Source organism: Homo sapiens, chromosome 4, assembly GCF_000001405.40.
Source record: "Homo sapiens chromosome 4, GRCh38.p14 Primary Assembly".
NCBI classification, from domain to species: Eukaryota; Metazoa; Chordata; class Mammalia; order Primates; family Hominidae; genus Homo; species Homo sapiens.
The window spans coordinates 4,421,172-4,444,062 of NC_000004.12; the positions used below are offsets into that span (position 1 = coordinate 4,421,172).

General features: G+C 45.3%; 1 protein-coding gene across 5 annotated transcripts in view, besides 1 other annotated feature; it reads right to left on the reverse strand.

The window, feature by feature from the left end:
* The window catches only part of STX18 (syntaxin 18), a 123,376-nt gene that overhangs the window by 2,204 nt on the left and 98,281 nt on the right, over positions 1-22,891 (reverse strand). For 3 of the 5 annotated variants that reach the window (NM_001346282.2, NM_016930.4, NM_001346300.2), the window contains 4 exons: positions 17,223-17,338; positions 13,599-13,687; positions 3,993-4,051; positions 2,347-2,416 (listed from right to left, as the gene is read on the reverse strand). In NM_001346282.2, the coding sequence (NP_001333211.1) occupies positions 2,347-2,416; positions 3,993-4,051; positions 13,599-13,687; positions 17,223-17,338 (334 nt within the window). The remainder of the gene's footprint in view (positions 1-2,346; positions 2,417-3,992; positions 4,052-13,598; positions 13,688-17,222; positions 17,339-22,891) is intronic. The other 2 variants (NR_144414.2, NM_001346281.2) reach the window with 1 other exon arrangement.
* Positions 5,849-6,392: an enhancer, noted in NCBI's record as "NANOG-H3K4me1 hESC enhancer chr4:4428747-4429290 (GRCh37/hg19 assembly coordinates)". NCBI's record gives its function as "activates a minimal SCP1, AML or CMV promoter by ChIP-STARR-seq in naive H9 embryonic stem cells {active_cell/tissue: H9 hESC(naive)}" and the evidence as "EXISTENCE:reporter gene assay evidence [ECO:0000049][PMID:30033119]".

A 22,891-nucleotide genomic window follows, 5' to 3' on the forward strand; every position in this document is an offset into this window, starting at 1 on the left:
GCTAACGGCTTTACTTGCATAGCCACAAATCCTCACAGCACCCCAAGAAGTAGGTATTACCTCTATTTTATGAAACGGAAACTCACGGCTCAGAGAAGTTTACTAACTTGCCCAAAGTCACATCACACAGCAACCAAGTGGCAGGACTGAGACTTTTTTTTTTTTTGAGACAGGGCTTAAACGATCCTCCCACTTCAGCCTCCCAAGTAGCTGGGAGTATAGGCATGTGCCACCACGCCTGGCTAAATTTTTAAAATTTTTTGTAGAGATGGGGGGTCTCCCTATGTTGCCCAGGCTGGTCTTGAACTCTTGAGCTCACACCATGCTCCCGCCTCGGCCTCCCAGAGTGCTGGGATTACAGGCATGAGCCACCGCGCAGGGCTGAGACCCCATCTTGTTGCAGTGCTCCTTCCGCCACACTTACCATCCCTCCTGCGCCACTCGCCGGTGACGGACAAAAACCTAAGAGCTATTGTTTGTGGAGCAGCCACCATATGCCAGGGGCTTCCCTTCTAGTCTCTCATTTCTTTCTGAAGTCCACAGAAGTAAGCTTTAAAATGTATGTGCTTCGAAATACATATGCTAGCTTCAAAAATAGTGCTTTGTGTTTTACTATCATCATATCTCTTAAAAAACAGGCTAAAATTTAAAAATCAAAATAGGATGCAGGATGCTTACAGAAAACGTTTACTCCAAACGAAGCCTTGAAAAGCTTGAGAAGCGTGGGATAACACAGGGGGCGTCTGGCCCCACAGGAGCAGAGACGGTGCTAGACGTCCTTACAAGCAGGAGTGCCTGCTTCTCTCCTCCTTTCGGTGGTGGTGAAGCTGCTTCCTAACAGGGTCAGGGCAGAATGAATGCTAGCGTGGGTTTTTAGAGAAACCTGACTGACACATTGTAGGGAGGAAGGCAGCATGTGGCCTCTGATTCCCAGCAATGAATATTACTGGGATGGCTTTGCCTCATCATCACCCCTTTTTAGAGAGTCTCAAAGTGTGAACTAAGTGACCACTGCCAAGGTTCCAATGAGAGAATCAATATGAACTACAATGCAACACTGATGGAAAAAACAAGAAAGACACATTGTTCCTCAGGACTTAGGAACTCCCAGTGGGCCGGGCGCAGTGGCTCTCGTCTGTAATCCCAGCACTTTGGGAGGCCAAGGCAGGTGGATCACCTGAAGTCAGGAGTTCGGGACCAGCCTGGCCAAGATGGTGAAACCCCGTCTTTACTAAAAATACCAAAATTAGCCAGGCGTGGTGGCATGCCTGTAATCCCAGCTACTCAAGAGGCTGACTGAGGCAGGAGAATCGCTTGAACCTGGGAGGATGAGGTTGCAGTGAGCCAAGATAGCAACATTGCACTCCAGCCTGGGCGACACAGCAAGACTCTGTCTCCAAAAAAAAAAAAAAGAAAAAGAAAAAAAAAGAAAAGAAAAAGAAACTCCCGGTGAGCCAAGGCAAGGCTCTGCCTATGCTCTGCACGCCCCTCCCAGGCCCCCTGGAGCCGCTGGGAGGTTTGAAGCAGGGTAGTGTTATTAAAAAGGGCGACTCCTATGAACCCGAACTTGCAAACCACTGTTAGACTTAATGTACCTCATTTACAATGATTTCACTCTGGCTGTGTGGTTTATGGAAAGTCATTTTGTGAGTGAAGTATCTTAAGTCAAGTAGTCCAGTTTAAAATACTGGAGAAAATTTTGTCTTTCAAACGTTCCCATAGTCTTTGGATGCTAAAAATAAAAGGGCAAATTTATCAGGTCTTGAAAAGTTTTGCCAGTTATTGGCTGGAAGAATTTCAGAAAATTCACTTGAAAAGAACAATCCTATTTCCCACGCAGACACCATCCCTGAGGTGGCATGGACCGCGCGTTGTGAGAGGCCTGGGTCTGAGCTCCTGTAACCTACTGACTGAAAAGCAACTGCCCGTCAGCATCGTGCTGGATGCTTCTGCAGTTATCTCTCAAACAGAGAATAACCCTGCAGGAGTCCCTCCCTCCTATAGATGGGAAACTGTAGCTTGTGGGGGCTACCTAGCTTACCCAGCACATCCAGAACCCTGACTGCCAGGCCTGGACTCTCCTCCCACGTGCCACCGCATGTGCTACCACATGGGGTGGTCAGTGGGTCCCCTGTGGGGAGCTCCTCCTCCATCACACGTGTGCAGAGGCAGCTCTGGGTAGTGAGAGCTTTTCCCTGAGGAGCTCTGCGCACACACACCTGCTAGCAACACATGGCTCTGCTCCTGGCTGTGTAGAGCAGCAGCCTTTGGGAAAAATGTCTCGTGCTCTCAAGTACATTCCCCTTTGAGTGAAAACATACAGCTCCTTTGTTTTTGTTTTTTTACCTGTTGCAAAACCTTTTCCGTGAATATCTCTTGGAGTCTGGAAATCTCAACCACTCTCCCTTCGATTTGCCTTCATAAAAAGAACAGATTACATATTAACTATTAGCACTTGGTAATCTAACAGGACTGTTACACACTTCTAAAGAAATCCTATCTTCTACGTGAAGGTGGGAGAGACAGGGGGCACACTGTGTCGGCTGGGGGAAGAGGAGATGGGAGAGGAAGGCGAACTCTCCTTACTGGGTCACCTTCCCTGTCTTCTGGCATAGCCTAGCACACTGGTCTTTTTGGAAGTCCACTCTACCATGCCAACTGACCCTCAGTCCCAAGAGGTGGGTGTGTGCAGTGCCCTTTGCATTCTGTGTCACTGCTCGGGGAATGGGGAGGGCCTGGTTGTGCCCCAGTTACAGAAAGCAGTCTCCAGTAAGTTCTCTGCCTAGCCTCATCACCATGGTAACACATGGTGGGGATTCAGAAGGTCAGAATATGCTGATGATCCAGCTTTGTTAATGCTCAGCAGGTTAAAGAAAAAAGTGTATTTACCTTCAAACCAACTCCCTGTTCCAAGAAAAAAGCTCCTCTGATTCATTTAGAAAATGCCATGTCTTGGTTTGGCAACGGAGTGTTCTGTCGGATCTGAAACACTTGGGCTAGCCATCTTCCTGGTGTCAGGGGCAGCATGGGCTACCCTGGGGGGCGGGTGGGGGCACATCTATTTAGAAACAGAAGCTGGCCCAAGCTGAAGTCAACTGCTGTTCCAGCACAAAGCAGCGACAGGAAGTGACAGGAGGCAAAAAGTGGTGGGAGCTGAGCTCCTGGCCAGGTGGAAGCAGTGATGAATCCCAACAGTATCACAGTGGCAGGGGGCAGGGGAGGAGATGTGGGAAGAAAAGCCAGTGAGTATCTGGGCATGGGGGAGTAGCGGGGTGGGGGCGGTAGTGGGGCAGACAGTGAAAGCTAGGCTGTCAGAGGAGGACTAGGAGGTCCATCTCTGAGGGCAGAAGGCGAAGAGCCCCTTGGAGGCTGACACCTACACTGAGAAAGTCCTCAGGCTGTGTGAGTGCAGCATCAGGATTGATTTTATTTGGGGGACATGTCCACAATACAACAGGCTCTGCAAAGTCCTGGGCCTTACTTTCAGCATGCTCCAAGCCTTCCCACAGAAACTAGAGGCTAACGGGTGCATGTGTGAGTGACCAAGGCCTTGCCTTCTGCATTCCTGACTCCCTGGTGGGTACAGGAGCAGGCAGACCCCAGTGGAACCATTTGCAGAAGAGGGCTTCCCTTGGTTAGCTGCCCTTCATAAGGGCCCCATTTCATTTCAGAGTCGCTGCGTGGAAACAGCCCGAATGGTGGTGGAAATTATACGCAGGTAATCTGTAGTCACTCCTGTATCTCTCGGGGTGGGAAGCACCTGGGCCCCCCGCAGCAGTGGCAGCAGGCAGGAGGTAACCCACAGGCCCACAAGCTGAGGGAGTTGTGGATTCAGGCCACATGCCCACCCCAGCCCAGTCAAAATGGCTGAGGGGGGCTGCACCAGCCCAAGGGCCCCATGGGGATGCCTGGGCACCAAGGTAAATAAAGTTCCTAGTTCCTGGAAAAGTTGTAAAGCAGGCTATCAGCTCACAGAGGAGCTACAAACATACCTCACTTCATCAAACAAGCTGTTCATTTCACCAATTAGTCGCTGATTTTCCTGTTCAAACTGTGAGGAAACAGACACACTCAGGATGACATCATACTGAACTTAGGCAAGAGTCTAGCAAGAAAGCGGACCTACGCTCCAGGAATCACTGCCGAAGCCCCCATTTCCAGCTGCGGCAACGTGGCAGCCGGTGCTGGACGACCGTTAGCATTAGTGTGAACAACGTCCCTGCTTTCAGGAGAAAGTTTTAAAAAACAGCTGTGCTGCCTGGTAATTGACTTCTCCATCTCAACCACTGCACTCCAGGGGTACAAGCTGACTGCTATGGCTGTAGCTGTATCTACCTACCCGCTCTCCCCTGGGATCCCACGGCCTGCTTCCTGACTCTAGTACCATTATTAAGAAAATTCTTTTGTTGTTGTTTTCTCTCATGAACTATACTGAAGGACTATACATATTTTTTAATATGGAGAAGGATCTGGTGTGGGGAGGGTCTGGAGAGGAAGGGGAGGTGGGCAGCTTGGCCGAGCTGCCTCTGGGCCCCTCTGACTTCAGAGCCTGGCCACTCCACTGCTCAACAGGGACAGAGGCCCAGAGCCAGAGGAGCGTGTTTCCCAGTGCTCAGGCTGGGTGAGGACGGGTGCCCTGACACCAGGGATACATGGGAGCTTCTTGGAGCTGAGTGAGCTTGGCACAGACAGTTGCTCTCCCAGCCATTCTTGCCAGTTTGATATGGGCCAAAGAAAAGGATGGAAGCTCCTGAAACTCAGCACAGAGAATGGACAGGAACAGCTCCTTGCCCTCACTGCAGGCCCCCACAGCCCTGTCCTCGTGTGTCCACTCAACTCCCGCAATGTGCAGGGAGTCAGGGGCGTCCTGCATTTCCTCCCCGATGCATCCCGCAGGCCCCACTTCTCCAGGACACCTACCCTGGCCCCTAAGCTCAAACTTATTTCTCATATTCCTATCCTTGGCCTACCATTTTCTGAAAATATCTTAGGATAGTAGCGCCCAACGGTCCCTTTCTGCCTTGTAATAAACTGTGCCCATCCCAAACTTCCCGTGTCACCCTGAGCTTCCTGAGGGCGGGAACTGGGTGGAACATAACTTTGCAAAGGCATTCCAGTTGTTCTTTCTTTCTTATAGATTAAAGCTGCCATCAAATCCACAAATATTTTCTGAGGCATTCTGTAAGCAGGAGTGGGAGGGATACATACAAGCAAGCCTCTGGAGGCTCCGAATCGATGGAAGATCTGGCTTATCACTTGCTTAGTAAACCAAAAATACAAGGGAAACAATGGTTATGGGAGGCAGCTGACCACCACGGGCTATGCTGGCACTTCATTCAACAGCCTGACCTTGTTGCCATTGTCCTAGGGCGGAAATGAGTTGCAGGGTCTCCCCAGCAGCCTCCTTCCCACCCAGGACCCCTCCCCTCCAAGTACCCCAGCTGTGCTCTATGCAGGCGCTCTTCACACACACGCCCCTTCCTAAGTCCACCAGTTTCGCCCCCGCACATGCACTTGCTGTATTCAGCCCTTCCCCTACCGTCCACATTCCACCCTCACCGTTTCTCACTTGCCTCCAACCTGTTATCCAATCCTTGGTCAAAGTGATCTCAAGTGCTGGTCATGCCAGAATGCCTCATGGTGGCCTTGCCCGCTGACCCTACAGATCAGGTCTAGGGCACACTGTTATCCATGCCCTGGCCACGTGACATCTCCCATCTCAGCTCTGCTCTGACAGGCTAGTTTCCTGCCTGGCTGCAGAACTCCACGTGGTCCCTCAAAACCCCAGGCATCTTCCTAGCGATCTGATACCTCAGGGCAGACTGAATCACCTTCTCTTACTTTCTCACTCTTGTTACCAAGTTCCCCTGTACTTGGCTCTTCAAGGACATTTCTCACACTTGTTCAGGGGGCTTGTCTTCTCTCTGTGGAAGGCAGCTGTCCTCCTTTGGACACTGAGCCCAGCCCAGGGCCTCACACATGACAGAACACCAGTTCTCGGCCCCGGCTACTCAAAACACAAGGAGGCATCTGCTGCACTCCAGACCCACCGGGCCAGAAAACGGGGAAGGGGCAAAGCTCTGGGAAGGGCGGAAGTGCCAGGAAAGCTCCCTGCAGGACCAACTCATCCACAGCAGGGGGCCGTGCTGGCTGCTGACACAGAATTGCTTATGGCCCCTTTAATTAGGCAAGACAAAGGCTATTTAAGAGAGTAAAACTTTCACTTTTGAGTTTGAAAGTATCCGCTCTGTTAACTTCAACAGTTACTTAAGAGGACAGTATTTAAGGAAAACATGTAATTACTAAAACATGCAGGCGCCAATTCACTTTGGCTAATTCAGGTACTACTCAGCTTTCCCTGGGTGGCGGCATTTTCTTGAATTTTTCTAATGACAAAATATGGCCCTGGCCCTGACCTTTTAAATCCACAGTCCCTTTTATGCTTTGAAACTGTTCCTAAACAAAATTAACTAGTGGTTTGGGGTGATTCATTCCTGGACTGTTCCTTGGGAACAAAGCTTTTCTTGTTTCCTCCCCAATTTGAGGGCCTGTGGTATAAGGCACTTAGGTGCGGCACCTCCTCTTAGGCCTCTTCGTAATTGTTAACTTCTGATAGCTCCATGTCCGCCCTCCACTGCACTCAGGAGTGGGATCAGATGCTGGCTCTAATTTCCTTCCACCCCACCTGAAAAATACCTAGTCCCTAGAGGAAGAGAAGCAGGTGCCTCAAGGATCAAAGGTGCTAAGGGCTGAGGAGAGAGGTTTGCCAACGGCCAGGAGTTTTAATGGAGAGCCGCCTCTGTGTTTAAAAAACAAAAGGCCTATTTCCCAGACAACTACAAGGTCACTATTACTTAAGGAGGCTGGCAGGGCCCAGGACAATTAGATCATGGCAAGGCTGCTGACAACACTGACTTGTACCAGGTTTCAGTATGGCTTCCAACGCTGTCTAAATGGCAAACCTGTGTGCCTCCCTTCGTCTGTTGCCAGGTGGCAGGCATAGTGGTGGATGTACCACGTGGATATGGGAGCCAGTTCTGGGGGCCTTATAGGAACCCTGGGGCAATGCTGGGCCAGTCACTGGCTTCTGGTGGGCCTGTCAGTTTCTTTGGGGACAGATGTGGTGATTCTTATCCTTTTCTGCCTGACCCTGAGGATGCAAAGTCACGGCTGGACTTCCAGCCCCTCACCTTCTAAGCAGTAAGCTGTTTTGGAGGTCACAATCTCTGGGCGTCTCTGTCTTTGTCACTAAAATGGGGATAGTAACAGTACTTAAGTAGTGGGGTTGTTAGAAGGAATACATGAGTGAATACATGTGAGTTGTCTACCAAAGTGCATGGCATATAGTAAGCTCTCGGTGAAGGCTGTCTATCATGATTTAATCTCTTGGGTGTCAGTTTCTGGATATGCAAAATGAGCGGTCAGATGCTGTGGGACCCCTTCTACCCTCTAGTCTCAAAGTCCTAGAGGCCTGCTGTGGCTCTCAGCCATTTCACTCTCCCAGGCACTGGGAAATGCACCCATAGCATCTTCTTCCAGAGCTCGCTGAGCCTCACTAGCTAGTATCTGTCTCTTTGTGGCCACACTTTGCAAGGTGCGGTGCTGAATGAAAGACCTGGTCTCCAAGGTCAGCACGACAGATGGGTATCTAGATGCTTTGTGAAGACAAACCTGAACACAATCAAGGAAATTCTTATTTTCCTATGGAATTGCAAAGGAAGGTGAGAGGCCTAGATGGTGGGTACGGTGGGCAGGTTGGGCCCTCCATGCATGGTGGTTGCCAGCCGCTGCTCTGGGCTCCCTGCATTGGCCCATCTGCTCTACGCTGTTACGGTCTCCTACCAAAACACAATGCTTTCCTTCAGCTAGACCAGCACTCTCCCCCACCCTCCAACCATGGCAGCACAGCATCATGTTGAACAGCCTAGGACTTGGGACCTATGTGACCTAGGGCTGGTGACTTAAGCTCTCTGTAAAACGGGGCCAGCAATACTCTCTCCATATGGGTTGCATAAATGAACATATGCTGAAGGGCTCAGAGCAGTACTTGGCACATGGTATGTGTCACATGCGCATTAGACAATATCATTATTCAACTGCTTTATCCCATTTAGAAGTCAGTTAGACTTTCCAATCAAGCCCTGCTAAAAGGTTTCTAATCTGGTTTAAAGGATACAAATCCACATTGTGAATATATTGTTATAGAAATCCTTTTCTAATCTAATCCTCTTTACTATAATTTTCAAAAGAAAATCACTCCTACAAAGGCCTTTCAGTATAAAATGACGCCAAGAGAAGTATTTGTGTCACAAAGAGCCAAGAAAAGCTGAGGAGCACAGGGGGACCATCCCAGAAAGCCCTCTGGCCCTCATAGCTCAGGAGTCCCCTGCCCAGCCCTTTCTGGACTCTTCCAGACGTGCTTTCTCTGTACCAAACCCCTTCACACTTCTGGCTGTGTGACCCTCACCTCGATCCCCTATGATCCCCATAATGTGACAGTAGACGGACTCTGCCGTATCCTTCTGGTGGAAGCCAGCATTTGCTGTGCCCCTGTAAACCTGGAACCTCCCCAGGGTCTGTCCAGCTCTCACTATGTGGTATTCAGATTCCACCAATCCTTGTTCTAGATGCATGAGCTGAAAACTGGCGAGCCCTGCCAGCCAGCCACTGGGAGTTTCTACAGGCCTACCTCAGGGGACAGGGCCTTGGAAGACGCCTTTCATGTGGATTTAAGAAACAGAAGCCACATTCATGTTTTAAAAAAATTATCCCAAGGAGTACATCAATAAATGCAGGTGGTTTTACCTGAGGCAAGTAAAGTGAATGTGTGTTTAGAAAGGGAGAAATTTTCTTGATGTAACTTTGGAAAACAATTTGGTTCCACTCAGCCTGACCACAAACACCTGCAAACTCAAAGGCATTAATATACCTGTATCATGAGTTATATAGGGAAATTTATTGTGCAAATCATATAATACCCTGCAACCATTTTGAAATATGTAATAACTGTTCCTTTGGGTGAAACAATGAATTATATTGCTATTATTGGGCTTAATTCATTATTTTACCCTGAGGAAAAATTCCGAAACAGTGATTATGAATTATGACCACGATTTGCTACAATATTTTCCAATTTAAAACCAACAGTGTTGTATTTCTTTCTCTTTATTTTCAAAGTTAAGCCTTTTAAATAAGATTTGAGTTAGTCAGACTATAAGATATGGTACTTAGCTATTATTCCCAATTAAGAAAGAAGTTAACTGGACATTAAATAGCCTGTCATAAAAGTACTGAACATTACAGCCTTCTGCCCGATCCTCTTGCAGTAACACAATAAAAATTAGGAAGTCCTGCTGATTCTGATTGCTTTAGTCATTGATACTACCATGCTAGAGCTACCAGTGTTACTGGGAGTGGCCGCTGGTGTCTTTAGACAATGACTCGGGACAGTGGAATGAAACAGAAGCATGCTGCATCAACCTCAATGTGGGGAGAGGAGCCGTACTCTGACATATCAGTTGCTAAAACACGTGCAGGGCATGCCACAATGCACAGACATGGCAGTATCCTTCTGGTGGGAGGGAGTCACCATTTGCTCTGCCCTGCCCTCTGCTGGGTGCTCTTACAGGTGCTACTGCATCCAGCGCTTGAGACAATTCTGTGGGGTATTGATTCTGAAGAGATCACTGATGGCAGTGATTTCTTGCCTCAGCTTACAAAGATAGTAAGTGGTATAAATTCATAGCCAACTCTGTCTAGTCCCAAAGCCTATGTTCTTTCATCATCCCTCCACAGGATGAGAGCATCAGGTGATTACGAATATCCTCACTGCTAGCCTTCCTCTGGTCCAACTCTCACACCTACAGGCTGCTAAGTCACGCAGCTGTAAAGGTTAACATGCTTAGCTCACCATTGCCTGCCAGAGAAAGGCAAAAATCCTCAGACAAACAACCCACACTATTGTTATTCTAGCTATTTCCTTTATGAAGAGTGGTGGAGTGCATTAAAAAAGAAAGAAAGAAAAAAAAAGCCCAACACAGAAGGTAAACTCTTCTTAAATACAAACGTATTCTTTCTTAATGAAGAGACAGAGCTGTACACATTTTTTGTCTAGCAAAGAAATGGGGCAATGGTATAATATTTGGGGAAACGACTCATTTCCACTAATACAAGGATTTCATATAAACCGGTGAAAACCTAAGAGATTTTTAAGAAACTTCTGCCATTATTTGGCTGTAGGACGGGAATATGATCCAATCCCTCTTTACATTCCTTTGTTGGCTTCTCCGCCCCAGCCTCCCTCCAGTGGAGTGTACCCCAGGGTGGTGTCCATGACCCCTTCTCCTTTCTCGCTGTTCATCATGTTTCTAGAGAGCCTCACGCAAGCCCATCCTTCAAACATCAGCTGTAAGATGTCTCCCACATGCGTTTCTCTAGCCCGAGCCCTGGAGCCCATAGACACCTCTCATGAATGTCCCACAGGCGCCTCAAACTCACACCTGTCTACATGAAATTCATCATCTCCTGCTCAGCCCCAGCCTGCCCACCTTCTGTGCACCCTCCCTCCTCCTGATGACCCACGTCAGAAAGCTCAAGGTTCCTTCCTCATCTCACACTTCAGTGCAGGCCATTTCCTACACCACAGCTCTCAACACTACCTTCACTGCCACTCCCGGCTCAAGGCCCTCCTCATCTCTCAACCTGACTGACAGCAATGACTGCTTGGAATCCCTGCGGCTGTCTTCCTCTAACCACCGACTATACAATGTGCACCTCGAGGGCCTAGGTCCCACATTTGCTGGATTTGGTGAGCACTTATTTCAAGTCATAAGGTGAATTCTGGAACATGAAAGAAGCTGGAAAGGAAGGCAAGGACCTTGCAGGGCACTTTAAGGTGTTTGAGTCATTTTCTTAGTTCAGAATTATTTTTGTCTGTAAAGGACAAAGACAGCTCTGCTTAGTATTCCAAAGAAAATATCACAGGCTCTGAAGGAGAACCCCCAAAGCAAGTCTCAGGAAAGTCAGGGCTAATGGTACCATCACTGGAATCAGTTTCAAGCTTTCAAGGCGATGATTTTAAAGGGGAAACCACTCATCTGGGTGGATAAATCTGTGTGAAACTGAATTGTATATGAAAGGCATATGAAAATGGTCTGAGCTCCAGCTGCCATCCTGCATGCCCTGACCCTGCCATGATGGCATGCATGCCACAGTCCTTCCCTGCTCATGGCACACGGGCAGCTATGCCCAATCTCTTCCATCCTGTGCAGGGAGAGGCTCTTCTGCCTCTTTGTACAACCTGCCACTCTCAAGGGTAAAGGAAGGGGAAACAGAATTTTTCAAGCACCCCATGTGTCTGGCTCTTTGTTGCATGCACCTCATGGGCCAGCTCACTCAAACTTTAGCCCCACCTGTGGGGTGGCCATTTTTTGCCCATCTCACAGATGAGGGAACAGAGGTCCAGAGCAGTGAGAGGGCCCAGGGCTGCAATGATGAGGCTGCGTGTGGACTCCAGTCAGACAGTACACTGTTCCCACTAGGCTGTGCTACCTTTTGGCTTTTTTGTCTTCACTTGTCCATGCCATTTTTAGGAAAGAGATTTGGTTTCCGTCTTTTATTTCAGGCATGGAGAAGAAACAGGAAGTCCAAAGAGCAAGAGGATGCTGAGCCAGTCCTCTGCCCTTGGCGGCCAATGCTCACGAGAGCAGACATGTGGACCTGGCCATCCCTGGAGGTCCCCAGCCTGCACAACTATGCTTACAATGACACTTCGGTGGGCCGGCGCGGCTGTTCTGACTTCTCTGCCTGGCTGGCCTGTGTCAGTGTGCCACGCTGCTCCTGTGCAGCAACACTTGCCTAGACCACCAGAACCAACTGGAAAAAAAGCACAGGTTGGAGCCAAAGGTTGGCTCTGCTGCTCTACTGGTTCTGTGACGTTGGGTAGGGCTTTAGTTTTTGTGCGTCATTTTCTTCAACTGTGTAATAGTGATAATTCCTACTTGACTGGATTGTCATGAAGATTCAACAGGACAACATATGTAAAAGGCTTGGGATAGAGAAGGCATTCATAAGTATCCATAATACTAGTAATAACTGAACACTAGAACATTCTAATAGTTATTACTGATGATCCCATTTTACCATTGAAAACAACCTATAGCTTTTATGTTATACTCATCAAAGTCACTCATGCATTCAACAAAGAATTCCCCTGCGGAAGGCCGCAGGGTCCTCTGCCTAGGAAAACCAGAGACCTCTGTTCACTTGTTTATCTGCTGACCTTCCCTCCACTATTGTCCTATGACCCTGCCAAATACCCCTCTGCGAGAAACACCCAAGAATGATCAATAAAAAAAATAAATTAAAAAAAAAAAAAAAAAAAGAATTCCCAAACACTGTTCTGGGCTCTGGGTGAGGAAAACAAGACAAGATTCTGCTCTCACAGAGCTTGTGCTCTATGCGGGAAATCAAGTAGGGTCATGGGACACAGTATCTGGGAGCTGCTGTAGGTGGGGTTGCCGGGTCTGTCTGAGGAAAAAATACCTGAGACCTGTAAGACATGCCAGGAGTGGATAGAGAGAGCTTGAAATTTCAGGTGGCTTAAGCAGCAACACAAACGCCTCAGTCTGAGAAGCTCAAGGCTGGGGAAAGACTGGATCCCATTCTTCCTCAACAGAGCTGTCTTCATGCTCCACTCCTTATCTTCTTGAGGGCTGGAAATCCAGCTCTTCCCTGATTAACTAGGGGACTCTGGGCAAGACCCTTTGCTGCCTTTTGCCAATGTTAAAATGAGATGCTAATGTTCCACCACCTCTTTGTGCAATTATTAAAAGTATCATGGATAAAATGAGAATCAAAAAGTTTTGTCTACTGCAAACTGCTGCACACTTAAAATGCTATCACTTGCCAGGCACAGTCACTGGAGGCGTGCCGTGTGGTAGTCACATTCCCCACGTCTTAGAGGACAGTGTCACATCCTAGCAGCTCTAGGTGACATCTATTCCCACACACAGATAGCATATTCCATCTGGCTTCTGTCACACCAGTGTCCAGATGAGCTGCACACAGACATTGCTGGACGTGAGCTGGCAGGGGCTTGGCAGACCTATCAGTTCCTTTTGAAACCCACCCATAGATGGTAAGCTATAGCAGCTGGAAACCAGAAGGCAGGTAACTAAAAGGAGGTGCTATCAGTAGTTAAGGTGTTACTCTTTTCACTTTTCAGTCATTATCTTACTTTTTTCACATTACCATAGCACTAGCAATTCAAACAATTAAAAAGCATCATAGTGGCATTTATAAAAGACCCATTTAGTCTAGAAGACTATTTTACTGTTGTTGAAAAGACATCTATTATTAGTAAAATTCTTCCAAGGCAAAATGTCTTCTTTAATTATGCTACTGCAAATTTAAAGCATATGAAAAGCACCGTAAGAATTAGGAAATCAAATGGGAAAGTGTATATAAAATACACATTTATAATTTTTAAAACTCAGTATAAAAATAAGGGCAAGGGCATTGAGGATGAGTTTCTCCTTAGTGAAACAGTCTTATGAAAACCAGTTAAAAATAAATAATTAGGCAGAGAATAGCATTACCATTTGTATTTCTTCTGGGGATAACTCATCTTCGCCTTTGCCATCTCCCCACGTTCCCAATTCAGGTTGTGTTTCAGCCAAAATTTTTTCTGTTAAAAAAAAAATTGAAAATAGAAGACCAAATATGTGTTTTAGAATAGGCTGGCTTAGGATGTAGTCATAACACAAACAAGAGATTAAACAGAATCTTACAGCTTTGTCTATATATTTCATGATCTTTGGGCTAATATTCAGGCACTGCAGACATGATTCTTTCACAACATTTAGGCTTTAAATTGTCTTTGTGCAGGCACGTGCATGTGTGTGTGTGATGGGGAGGGGGACCTATGCACGGTTTCAGTATCGCACTGATGTCAGCAATGGCTGCAAACTAAATGGACATTATTCAGAATGTCTTCAGAATTCTTCAGAATGAGTCTTAAAGTATGTTTTACTTCAAGACACATACACCCCTGTCTACTTTTAAAGACTGTAAGACATATTTTTATTGTAAAAAATACATATGCATATATACATACATATATATATATATACAGGAAGTGATATACTGTTCTCCAATCCTATTCCTCTCCCAGATGTTACTGCTTTGATGTAGCTTCATAGATTTTATCTAAAGATATTCACATACAAAGATATATGAGTCCCTGTCTACCCATGAAATTCAAGTAATACACAGTTTTGTGTGTATGGCGGCTTGCTTTTCACACAGATATCAATAGTAACATGCTGTTCTAAAACTTGCTTTGTATGATTTATTGATACATCTTGGAGATGGTCCAAGTAGATCTACCTTGTTCTTTTAAATTGCTGCATGATATTCCATCGTGAGGATACACTGGTCTTTAGCCATAACTACGCTGACAGACCTCAGTGGTTTCAGACTGTTCACTGGTGTCATGGTACTGTGTCCCGGTCTGTGCTATGTGCACATGCTGGAGTGACTCTCTAGGACAGATACCTGGGCATGCAACTGCTGAAAGGGAGCGTAGGAACATTTTAATCTGGAGAACTTTTTCATTATGATCAAGGAAAGGTGATGCATCCTCCATTGAAGCATGTCAATACCACAGGCCCCTAGAAAGGACTGCTGCCGCCCAGGATGACGGTAAGAGGTCTGTGCAGTTCATCACCGGGGTAGGGTTGGGAGCGGAGGGGAGAGGGATGGCAGGGATGGATCCTCGGGGGAGACTGTAATGAAGTCACTTTGTGTCTGTGTCTCAGGGCTTATCAGTGAGCTTCCAAGTACTCAAAGGCAAATACTGCTTCTTTTTCCTTTTTTCCTCAATCTCAGTAAATTTCCTGTAGTCAGTCTCAGCCCCATGAGATGGCAACAAGTCCAGATCTTTAAATAGGGGAAGAGAACGTAATGATAGCAACAATGTAGAGAAAGCTCACTAGGCAGGCCATGCCTGAAAGTTATGGTTATTTATTAGAAATATATCTTTACAAAAAAAACTGCATGTCATCCACAACTTAGTGCATGCAGGCTTTTAGAAAAATGGCTGTTTTTACCAGAAGTGTCATTATAGAAAAACATGTGTTTGTAAAAGGTTGGCTAAAAGTATCTTTAGAAATGATCTGATATTTTCCTGAGATGACATTCTTTGGGTAGGAACATTTGTACTTTCATCTACCCCCCACCCCCACCTTATGAGCTGTCTCCTACTTGTCCTCATTATGGTATCCATTTCAAGCTTTTACTGTTGTTGATTTCTTTTTTAAGGAAAAAAACATCAAAATTAGAAACAGAAACCTTGTTCATATCTGAACCAAGCATAAATTAACTCTGAGCTAGAATGGGAAAGTTTTCTTAGCAGAACTCACACTCTACAACATGCTCATTTGTGGCCATCAGAAGCCTTCTTGATAGGCTGCCCTAAGGATCAGCCTGAAGCACAGCACCCACCATGCCAGTCCTCTGCCCAGGCCACCCGTGCACCCTGGTGCCACAGAGGCAAGTCCAGACTCCCTACTCTGGCATTCAAGGCCCTACCCACCCTTCCAAGCTTACTCCCACCTCTCCTCCCACTGATGGGCTTCACTGATCCCCACGGGTCTTCTTTACTGACTATATCCCACCCAATCTCCAGGCTTTCTGGCCTCTGAGCATTTGCTCATGCTGCTGCCTCTGTCTAGAACTTTCTAAGCTTTCATTTTTTATTTTTTCAGGTCCAGACTCACTTTTTTTTTTTTTTTTTTTTTTTTTTGAGACGGAATTTCGCTCTTGTTGCCCAGGCTGGAGTGCAATGGCACGATCTTGGCTCACTGCAACTTCCGCCTCCCAGGTTCAAGTGATTCTCCTGCCTCAGCCTCCCCAGTAGCTGGGATTACAGGCGTGTGCCACCACACCTGGCTAATTTTGTATTTTTAGTAGAGATGGGGTTTTTCCATGTTAGGCTGGTCTTGATGTCCTGACCTCAGGTGATCCAACCCGCCTTGGCCTCCCAAAGTGCTGGGATTACAGGTGTGAACCACTGCGCCTGGCCCAGACTCACTTCTTAGTGCCACCTCCTCTTGAAGTCTCCCTGGCCCTCTGCTCTCTCTTGAGGTACTACTTACTTTCTCCCAGGGGCTAGAGCCTTATCTTTCCCATCAACTGTGAGCTCCCTGAGGGCAGGAATCACATCCCTGAAACTTATTGAGCTCCAATGTGACACCCAAAGGAAATACTCATTGGAGCTTTCCAGATTTTAGTTTTCAGATTAGAGATGCTCAACTGGTAAGGACAATGCAAATATGCAAAAATTTGAAAAAACCCTAAATCCAAAACACTTCTGGTCCCAAGCATTTCAGATAAGAGATACTCAACCTGTAATTTCTGTGACATGTCCAGGACCATGCCTAGCATCTGGAAGACAAGAGTTAATAAGAACTGCCATGAGACTACGGAGAAGGATGCTAAAGGGGACTCCCAGGTCTCTCCTGGCTCCAGCACGCCATCACCCTGTGATTCACACAAAGAACCCTGCTCCACTCTGCCTTTGAGATATGGCAAACTATGCAGGCATCCCTACGCAGGGGTACCAGCCAGACACACAGATCGCAGACATCCATGACCACACTGTGTATGTCCCCCTACATTTTCGGACTTCATGGAGACCCTGTATTTCTTCTGCATCTCCTGTGCATCAGGAACTATTCTAAGCCATGGGCCCTCTAGTATCTGTGGTGATAGGCAGCACGTCAATTCAGATTTGCATTTTGTCCTGTTGGTTTGACTGGCTGTGCAAGGCTGCTGAGGTTATACACTCTACCCGGATGCAGGCCTGGCAGCTCAGAGCTGACATGCAGGGCATGGCTGCCAGGGAGGCAATGCTGCCTCTCCTGAGGCCGGCACACAGGGCTCCTGAGGCAGACAGCTCCCGGCCTCACCCCTCCAGCAGGCCCTTTCTCCCGGACCCCGCCAGCTCCCAGGTGACTGGGTGAATGCACCCCCTGCCTCTGTGGCACTCACGAAGATCAACTGTGACAGACACAAAGGCTGCCGCCTCCTGCTTCCTTTGCTTTATGCAAATACAAACACCAAAACATGTCTGAGACTGTGCTACTTCGTTCCTGTGCTGTACTCTTGCCAACATGTCACAAGGAAGAAATGCAAGGTGAGATTTTCATCTCAATTCGTACCTGGACGTTCTTCAGTGGCAGGGTTTTCTTCAGAGTCTTTTGAAGGACTCTGTGAAACTTTCTCAGAAGATGTGGATTCTCTTGTCTTTGTATTTGGTTCTGGTTCCAGCTTAGATCTAAAAATAAATAATTAGCAGGCAGGTATTTTATTTCCATAACAGGATTCCTTTTTGAAAACAGAAGGAGTCACATGTGACCCTGCGCTTTTGCTCTGTGTCCCTGTACTGGGGAGCAGTCACTGCCTCTGGGCCCAGTGGCCATCCGGACACACCTCCACTGGGGCACTTAACACTGGCATTATTGCCTGCAGGGTAGAGATTGTGCATGCCCTCTGCATTTGCAGCCACGGCACAGTGACCAGCATGCAGGGGGAGGCTGCAGTTGGTATGTGCTGAATACGCTCCATAGACTGACACACCGCACTCAACAAACCCAGGAAGCTGGATTGATGCTTACCCAGTAGTTGACACTAATGCAAAAAGATTGCTGAGTATGTTATTAATAATAATATATAATACATATTATACATATATTCATATATATATATATACCCCCACACACATATATACCCCCAACACATGTATACCCACACATATACACACACCACACACACACATATATACCACATATATATACCCATGCACACATATATACATACCCTCCCACATATATACCCACACACATATATACCACCACACATATACCCCCACACACATACCCCCACATGTATACACACAATATATATACCACATATATATACCCCCCACACATATATAACCCCCTACATACACACATACCCCATATATATACATACATGCATGTATATCCCCCACATATACACACACACCACATACATATATTCACATATACTCACCCACATAAACACACACACATATATACACACACATACCCACACATATACACATACCATATATACACACCCACATACATATACTACATATATATACCCCCCACTCACATATATACCCCCTACATACACACACACACCATATATGTGCAGATATGTATATATACCCCCCACATATACCCTCCCCCACACACATATATCTACATACACATATATACATACACACACACACTCATATATACCCCCACATATACATACACATATACTCCCACATACACACACAGAAACACACACATATATACCCCCTACCCATATATATACACACACACACCCCCACACACATACCCCCCAACATATATACTCATACACACACATATATATACCTATACCCACACACGTATATGTTCTAAGTCACATCTTAATATAAGTTAGCTCTGAAAGCACAAGTCCTTAAATACCCACTTGAAGGCACAGACTTGTTTCAGGACTGAGTCCTCTGCACTTGGCATTCCCCTGTTTCTTCCCCACGGGCTCTTCCCAGGGCATCGTCTTCCTTCCCATCTACAGGGCTCAGCTCAATTTCACCTACTCAGAGAGGCCACCTCTGACTCTTCTGTGAAGGAAAGGCCGCCTCCCACTCCTCTGCATCTGTTTTCTCCATAGCAGTTATCACAGTCTATAATCCCCCTGTTTATTTATCTGTTGGTTGTCAGCCTTGCTCCTAGATCCCAGATTCTGGATTAGTGCCTGGTATTCCATTGCATAAATATATGTTGAATGAATGAGTGCATTATAAATACAAGTAACTGGTTAATAAGAAAACGTTTAGGTTATGCAATAACAGGCTTTGTAATAGCTTTACTAGAATCTACATAAATGCTATAAAATTATAGGCAGAGTGCTATCTAGGATAAATTCCATATTGTTAGGCAGAGAGACTGTAATTAAAGGAACAATGTAAATGCATATTAGGGTGATATTACTAATGCCAGCTAACATTTGTTAATGGCTCATATAGTGGACATTTTTTCTAAGCAATTTGTATGGATAAATTTATTTAATTTCGAATATCCCCATCAGGTAGGTACTAGTATTAACAACCTTTTAACAAAGGAGGAAACTGAGGTGTAGAGAAGTTAGGAAACTTGCCCAGGTCACAGTCAGCAAATGGCTGGGCTGGGACATGACCTCAGGGAACCTAGCTCTGAAGCCCATGCTCGTAACAACTGCTCCATGTGGGGTATATTCTACCCATCCTGGGCTGTGGGAAAGGACTTCTGTGGTCGAATCAGTCTGAGAAAGCTGAGTCAAAGCTAGAAAGGTGTTTCACTATATAAGTTTTCAGAGCCTTTAATATGCTCAAATACATTTTGAATTTCCAAAAAGGATGGTATTTGCAAATAACCTGATTGCAGACACTCTCTTCACAGAGTTTTTTGAGAGCAGTTTTCTCAAAAAGACTATTTAGGAAATGGTCCTCTACAAAATTTAACAAAAAATTTTTTCAAAAGTCACTGTTATCAATCTTTTTAATTGTTCTGGTTACTACAGCTGAGTCATAAAACTTAGTGCCTTGAAACAGTGAGATTTATTACTGATCACTGCTTCTGGGGTCAGGAATTTGGGAACACCTTGGCTGGGTGGTTCTGGCTCTGTGTGTCTCAGGAGGGTGCAGTTAGAAGGCAACTAGGGCTGCAGTCATCTGAAGGGCTGACCAGGGCTGGAGGGTTCACTTCCAAGGAGGCCACACACATGGCTAGCAAGTTGGTGCTTGCTGGGAGCCTCATTTCTTCTTCATGGAGCTGCATGAGTGTGTTACTGGTGCATGGCAGCTGGCTGCCTGCAGGGCTGGCAGTCTTAAAGACTTTGGTGGAAGCTTCAGTGCCTTTCATGACCTAGCCTTAGAAGTCAGAAATCATAATTCTGGCCATATTCTACTGCCCAACACATTCACGATGGTCCACTGGAGTTCAAGGGGAAGAAACACAGACTCCAATTTGCTTTCTCAATGGAGCAGTAACATCACTTTTTAAGAAGAGCATGTGGTATGGGATCTATTTGGGGGCAGCTTTCTTTGGAAAATATAATCTGCTATTCTAAGTATCACAAATATGCACAAAGGTAAAGTTATAAGGATATTCACCACAAAACTGCTTATAACAACAACAAAATGACTTAAATGTTCATGATAATGTACCTCATTTACAGTTGGAAGATATAATGAAAGAGAAGATTCTACTTGCAATAGCCAAAACAAAACAAAAGATAAAAAACTAACAATATCAACAAAAACTTTAGAATAAACTTAAGCCCAAAGCCCATACGTAAAAAACCAAAAAAGATTCCTGAAAGACACAAAGGAAAGGACACATCATTCTTGGATAGAAAAAGAAATATAAAGATGTTGGTTCTCCCTAAGTTAATTTATAAATGTAATGTGATCCCAATAAAAAAACATCACCAGGTCCCATCCTGAAGCCGGAAAAATCAACTATGAAATTCATCTGGAAATAAGCAAGAATGGTCAGAAAAACTGTAAATAAATATTGAACTCTAGTTAATGATATGCATACTAAAGTATTGAAGGGGAAGGGCACTGTTTGCAGTTTACTCTGAAATCTATTTTAAAAAGAGACTAAATGCATATGGAATGATAGGCAGGTAAAAGAAGCAAGTATGGTAAAATGTAAATGCTCGAATCTAGGGTATAGGTATATGGGTGTTCACTGTAAAATTCAATTCTGCCATATGTTTGAAAAGGTTTATAGTGAAAATATCATGGAGATTAGGAAGGGGAGGCAATAATAGCCAAGATAACCCTAAAAAACCAAGTGTGGTATTAGAGCATGAAAAGATTGACAGACCAATGAATAGGATATAAAATTCAAAACCAGACTCAACTGCATATATGTATTTAATATATGATATGGTTTAATAAGTTGCACTGGGATAATCGGTAGTTATATGAAAGAATAAATGTTTTCCCTCTCCCTACACTGTACACCAAGGTAAATTCCAAATGCATCAGAGATATACACATAAAAAAATGAACCACACATATGAAAAAAAAAACATGGGTGAACTGGGTGCGGTGGCTCACTCCTGTAATCCCAGCACTTTGGGAGGCCGAGGAGGGCGAATCACTTGAGGTCTAAGCCCAGCCTGGCCAACATGGTGAAAGCCTGTCTCTACTAAAAATACAAAAATTAGCCGGGCGTGGTGGCACGCACCTGTAGTCCCAGCTACTCAGGAGGCTGAGGTGGGAGAATTGCTTACGCCTGGGAGGTGGAGGTTTGCAGTGAGCCGAGATCACCCACTGCACTCCAGCCTGGGCGAAAGAACGAGAGTCCGTATCAAAACAAAACAAAACAAACGAAACAAAGCACCATGAGTGGTGGGGCATGTTGATGGCTATTGGTGGTGAAGGCTATTAGTGTATTGGCGGGTGGGGAGGACAGTGAAAGAGGTATATGGGAACTCTTGGTACTTTCTGCTCAATTTTGCTATGAACGTAAAACTGCTCTTAAAATAACAAGTTTATTAAAAAAAAAAAAAAAAAAGCCCCACCATAGGTAAAGCAGACAGAGAAAAAGACCAACAGCCCTACAGTAAACTAGGCAAGAAAGTTCACACAAATGCAAATGGCTTTTAAACACATGAAAAATGCTCAATCTTCCTCATAAGAAGATGATGCATATTAACAACTACACTGCGTCATTATTTCTTGCCTACTGGGACTGGTGAAAATACCCAAATGTGAAGACATACTGGGTAGGTCAGGCTGTGAAGTAGGCACTTCCGTATATTGATGGTGAGAGTACCAAACAGTGTGACTCCTATGGAGGGGACCTTGGTAATATCCTGCAAATTAACATGTATTTAATCTCTAATCCAGCAATCCCACTTATGGGACTCTATCCCAAAGATATAACAATAATATGAAAAAGTTATTAATTATAGCAATTTCGTAATTCAATTTTAATATGGCAAAGGCCTAGGAAAAAATCCACATGTCCATCAACATGGAACTGGTGGAAGACACTCTGCAGTACTATGGAGCTGTAAAATAGAATGTATACCTTTATACACTGCTCTAGAGCAATCAAACAAGATGGGGAAAAGCATGTATAGAAGGGATATTCCTTAATCTGATAAACACGTACAAAATCTACAGTTAGCATCATACTTTATGATGAAAGCCTAAGTGTTTTCCCTAGGATGAGGAACAACGTAAGGACCCAGTAGATCTGAACAACAGAGGAAGAGAAAACAATTACAAAATCATTTTATGAGGCCAGTATTACCCAGATTCAGAAACCTATGAAGGTATTACAAGAAGAGAAAATTAGACACATATCTTCATGAACATAAAAGCATCCTTAATACAAACAAACTGATTTTAGCAATATGTAAAGACAATAATGTATCATGACCAAATGAGGTTTAACCCAGGAATACAAAGTTGGTTTAACATTTGAAAATCGATCAATGTAATACACCCCCTTAACAAAAAAAGAAAAAAGCCTATATGATCATTGCATTAGATGTAGAAAAAGCATTTGAAAAAGTCAAGATCCTCTGATGATAAAAACTTTCAGCAAACTAGGAAAATAAGGTATGCAGTAAAGGGATGACTCAGCAGGTTTGTGGTGTTCAAATTCTGCACATTCCAAGGAAAAAACTGGCCCTTGCTTGGCTCCTGGGAGATAACCTCTAAGCTCCTAGTACGTCTTGTCTGATGAGAGTATCTTTGTATACCTGGGGGCATTCCAGATAGTTTATGCTAACAGAGTGATTTATG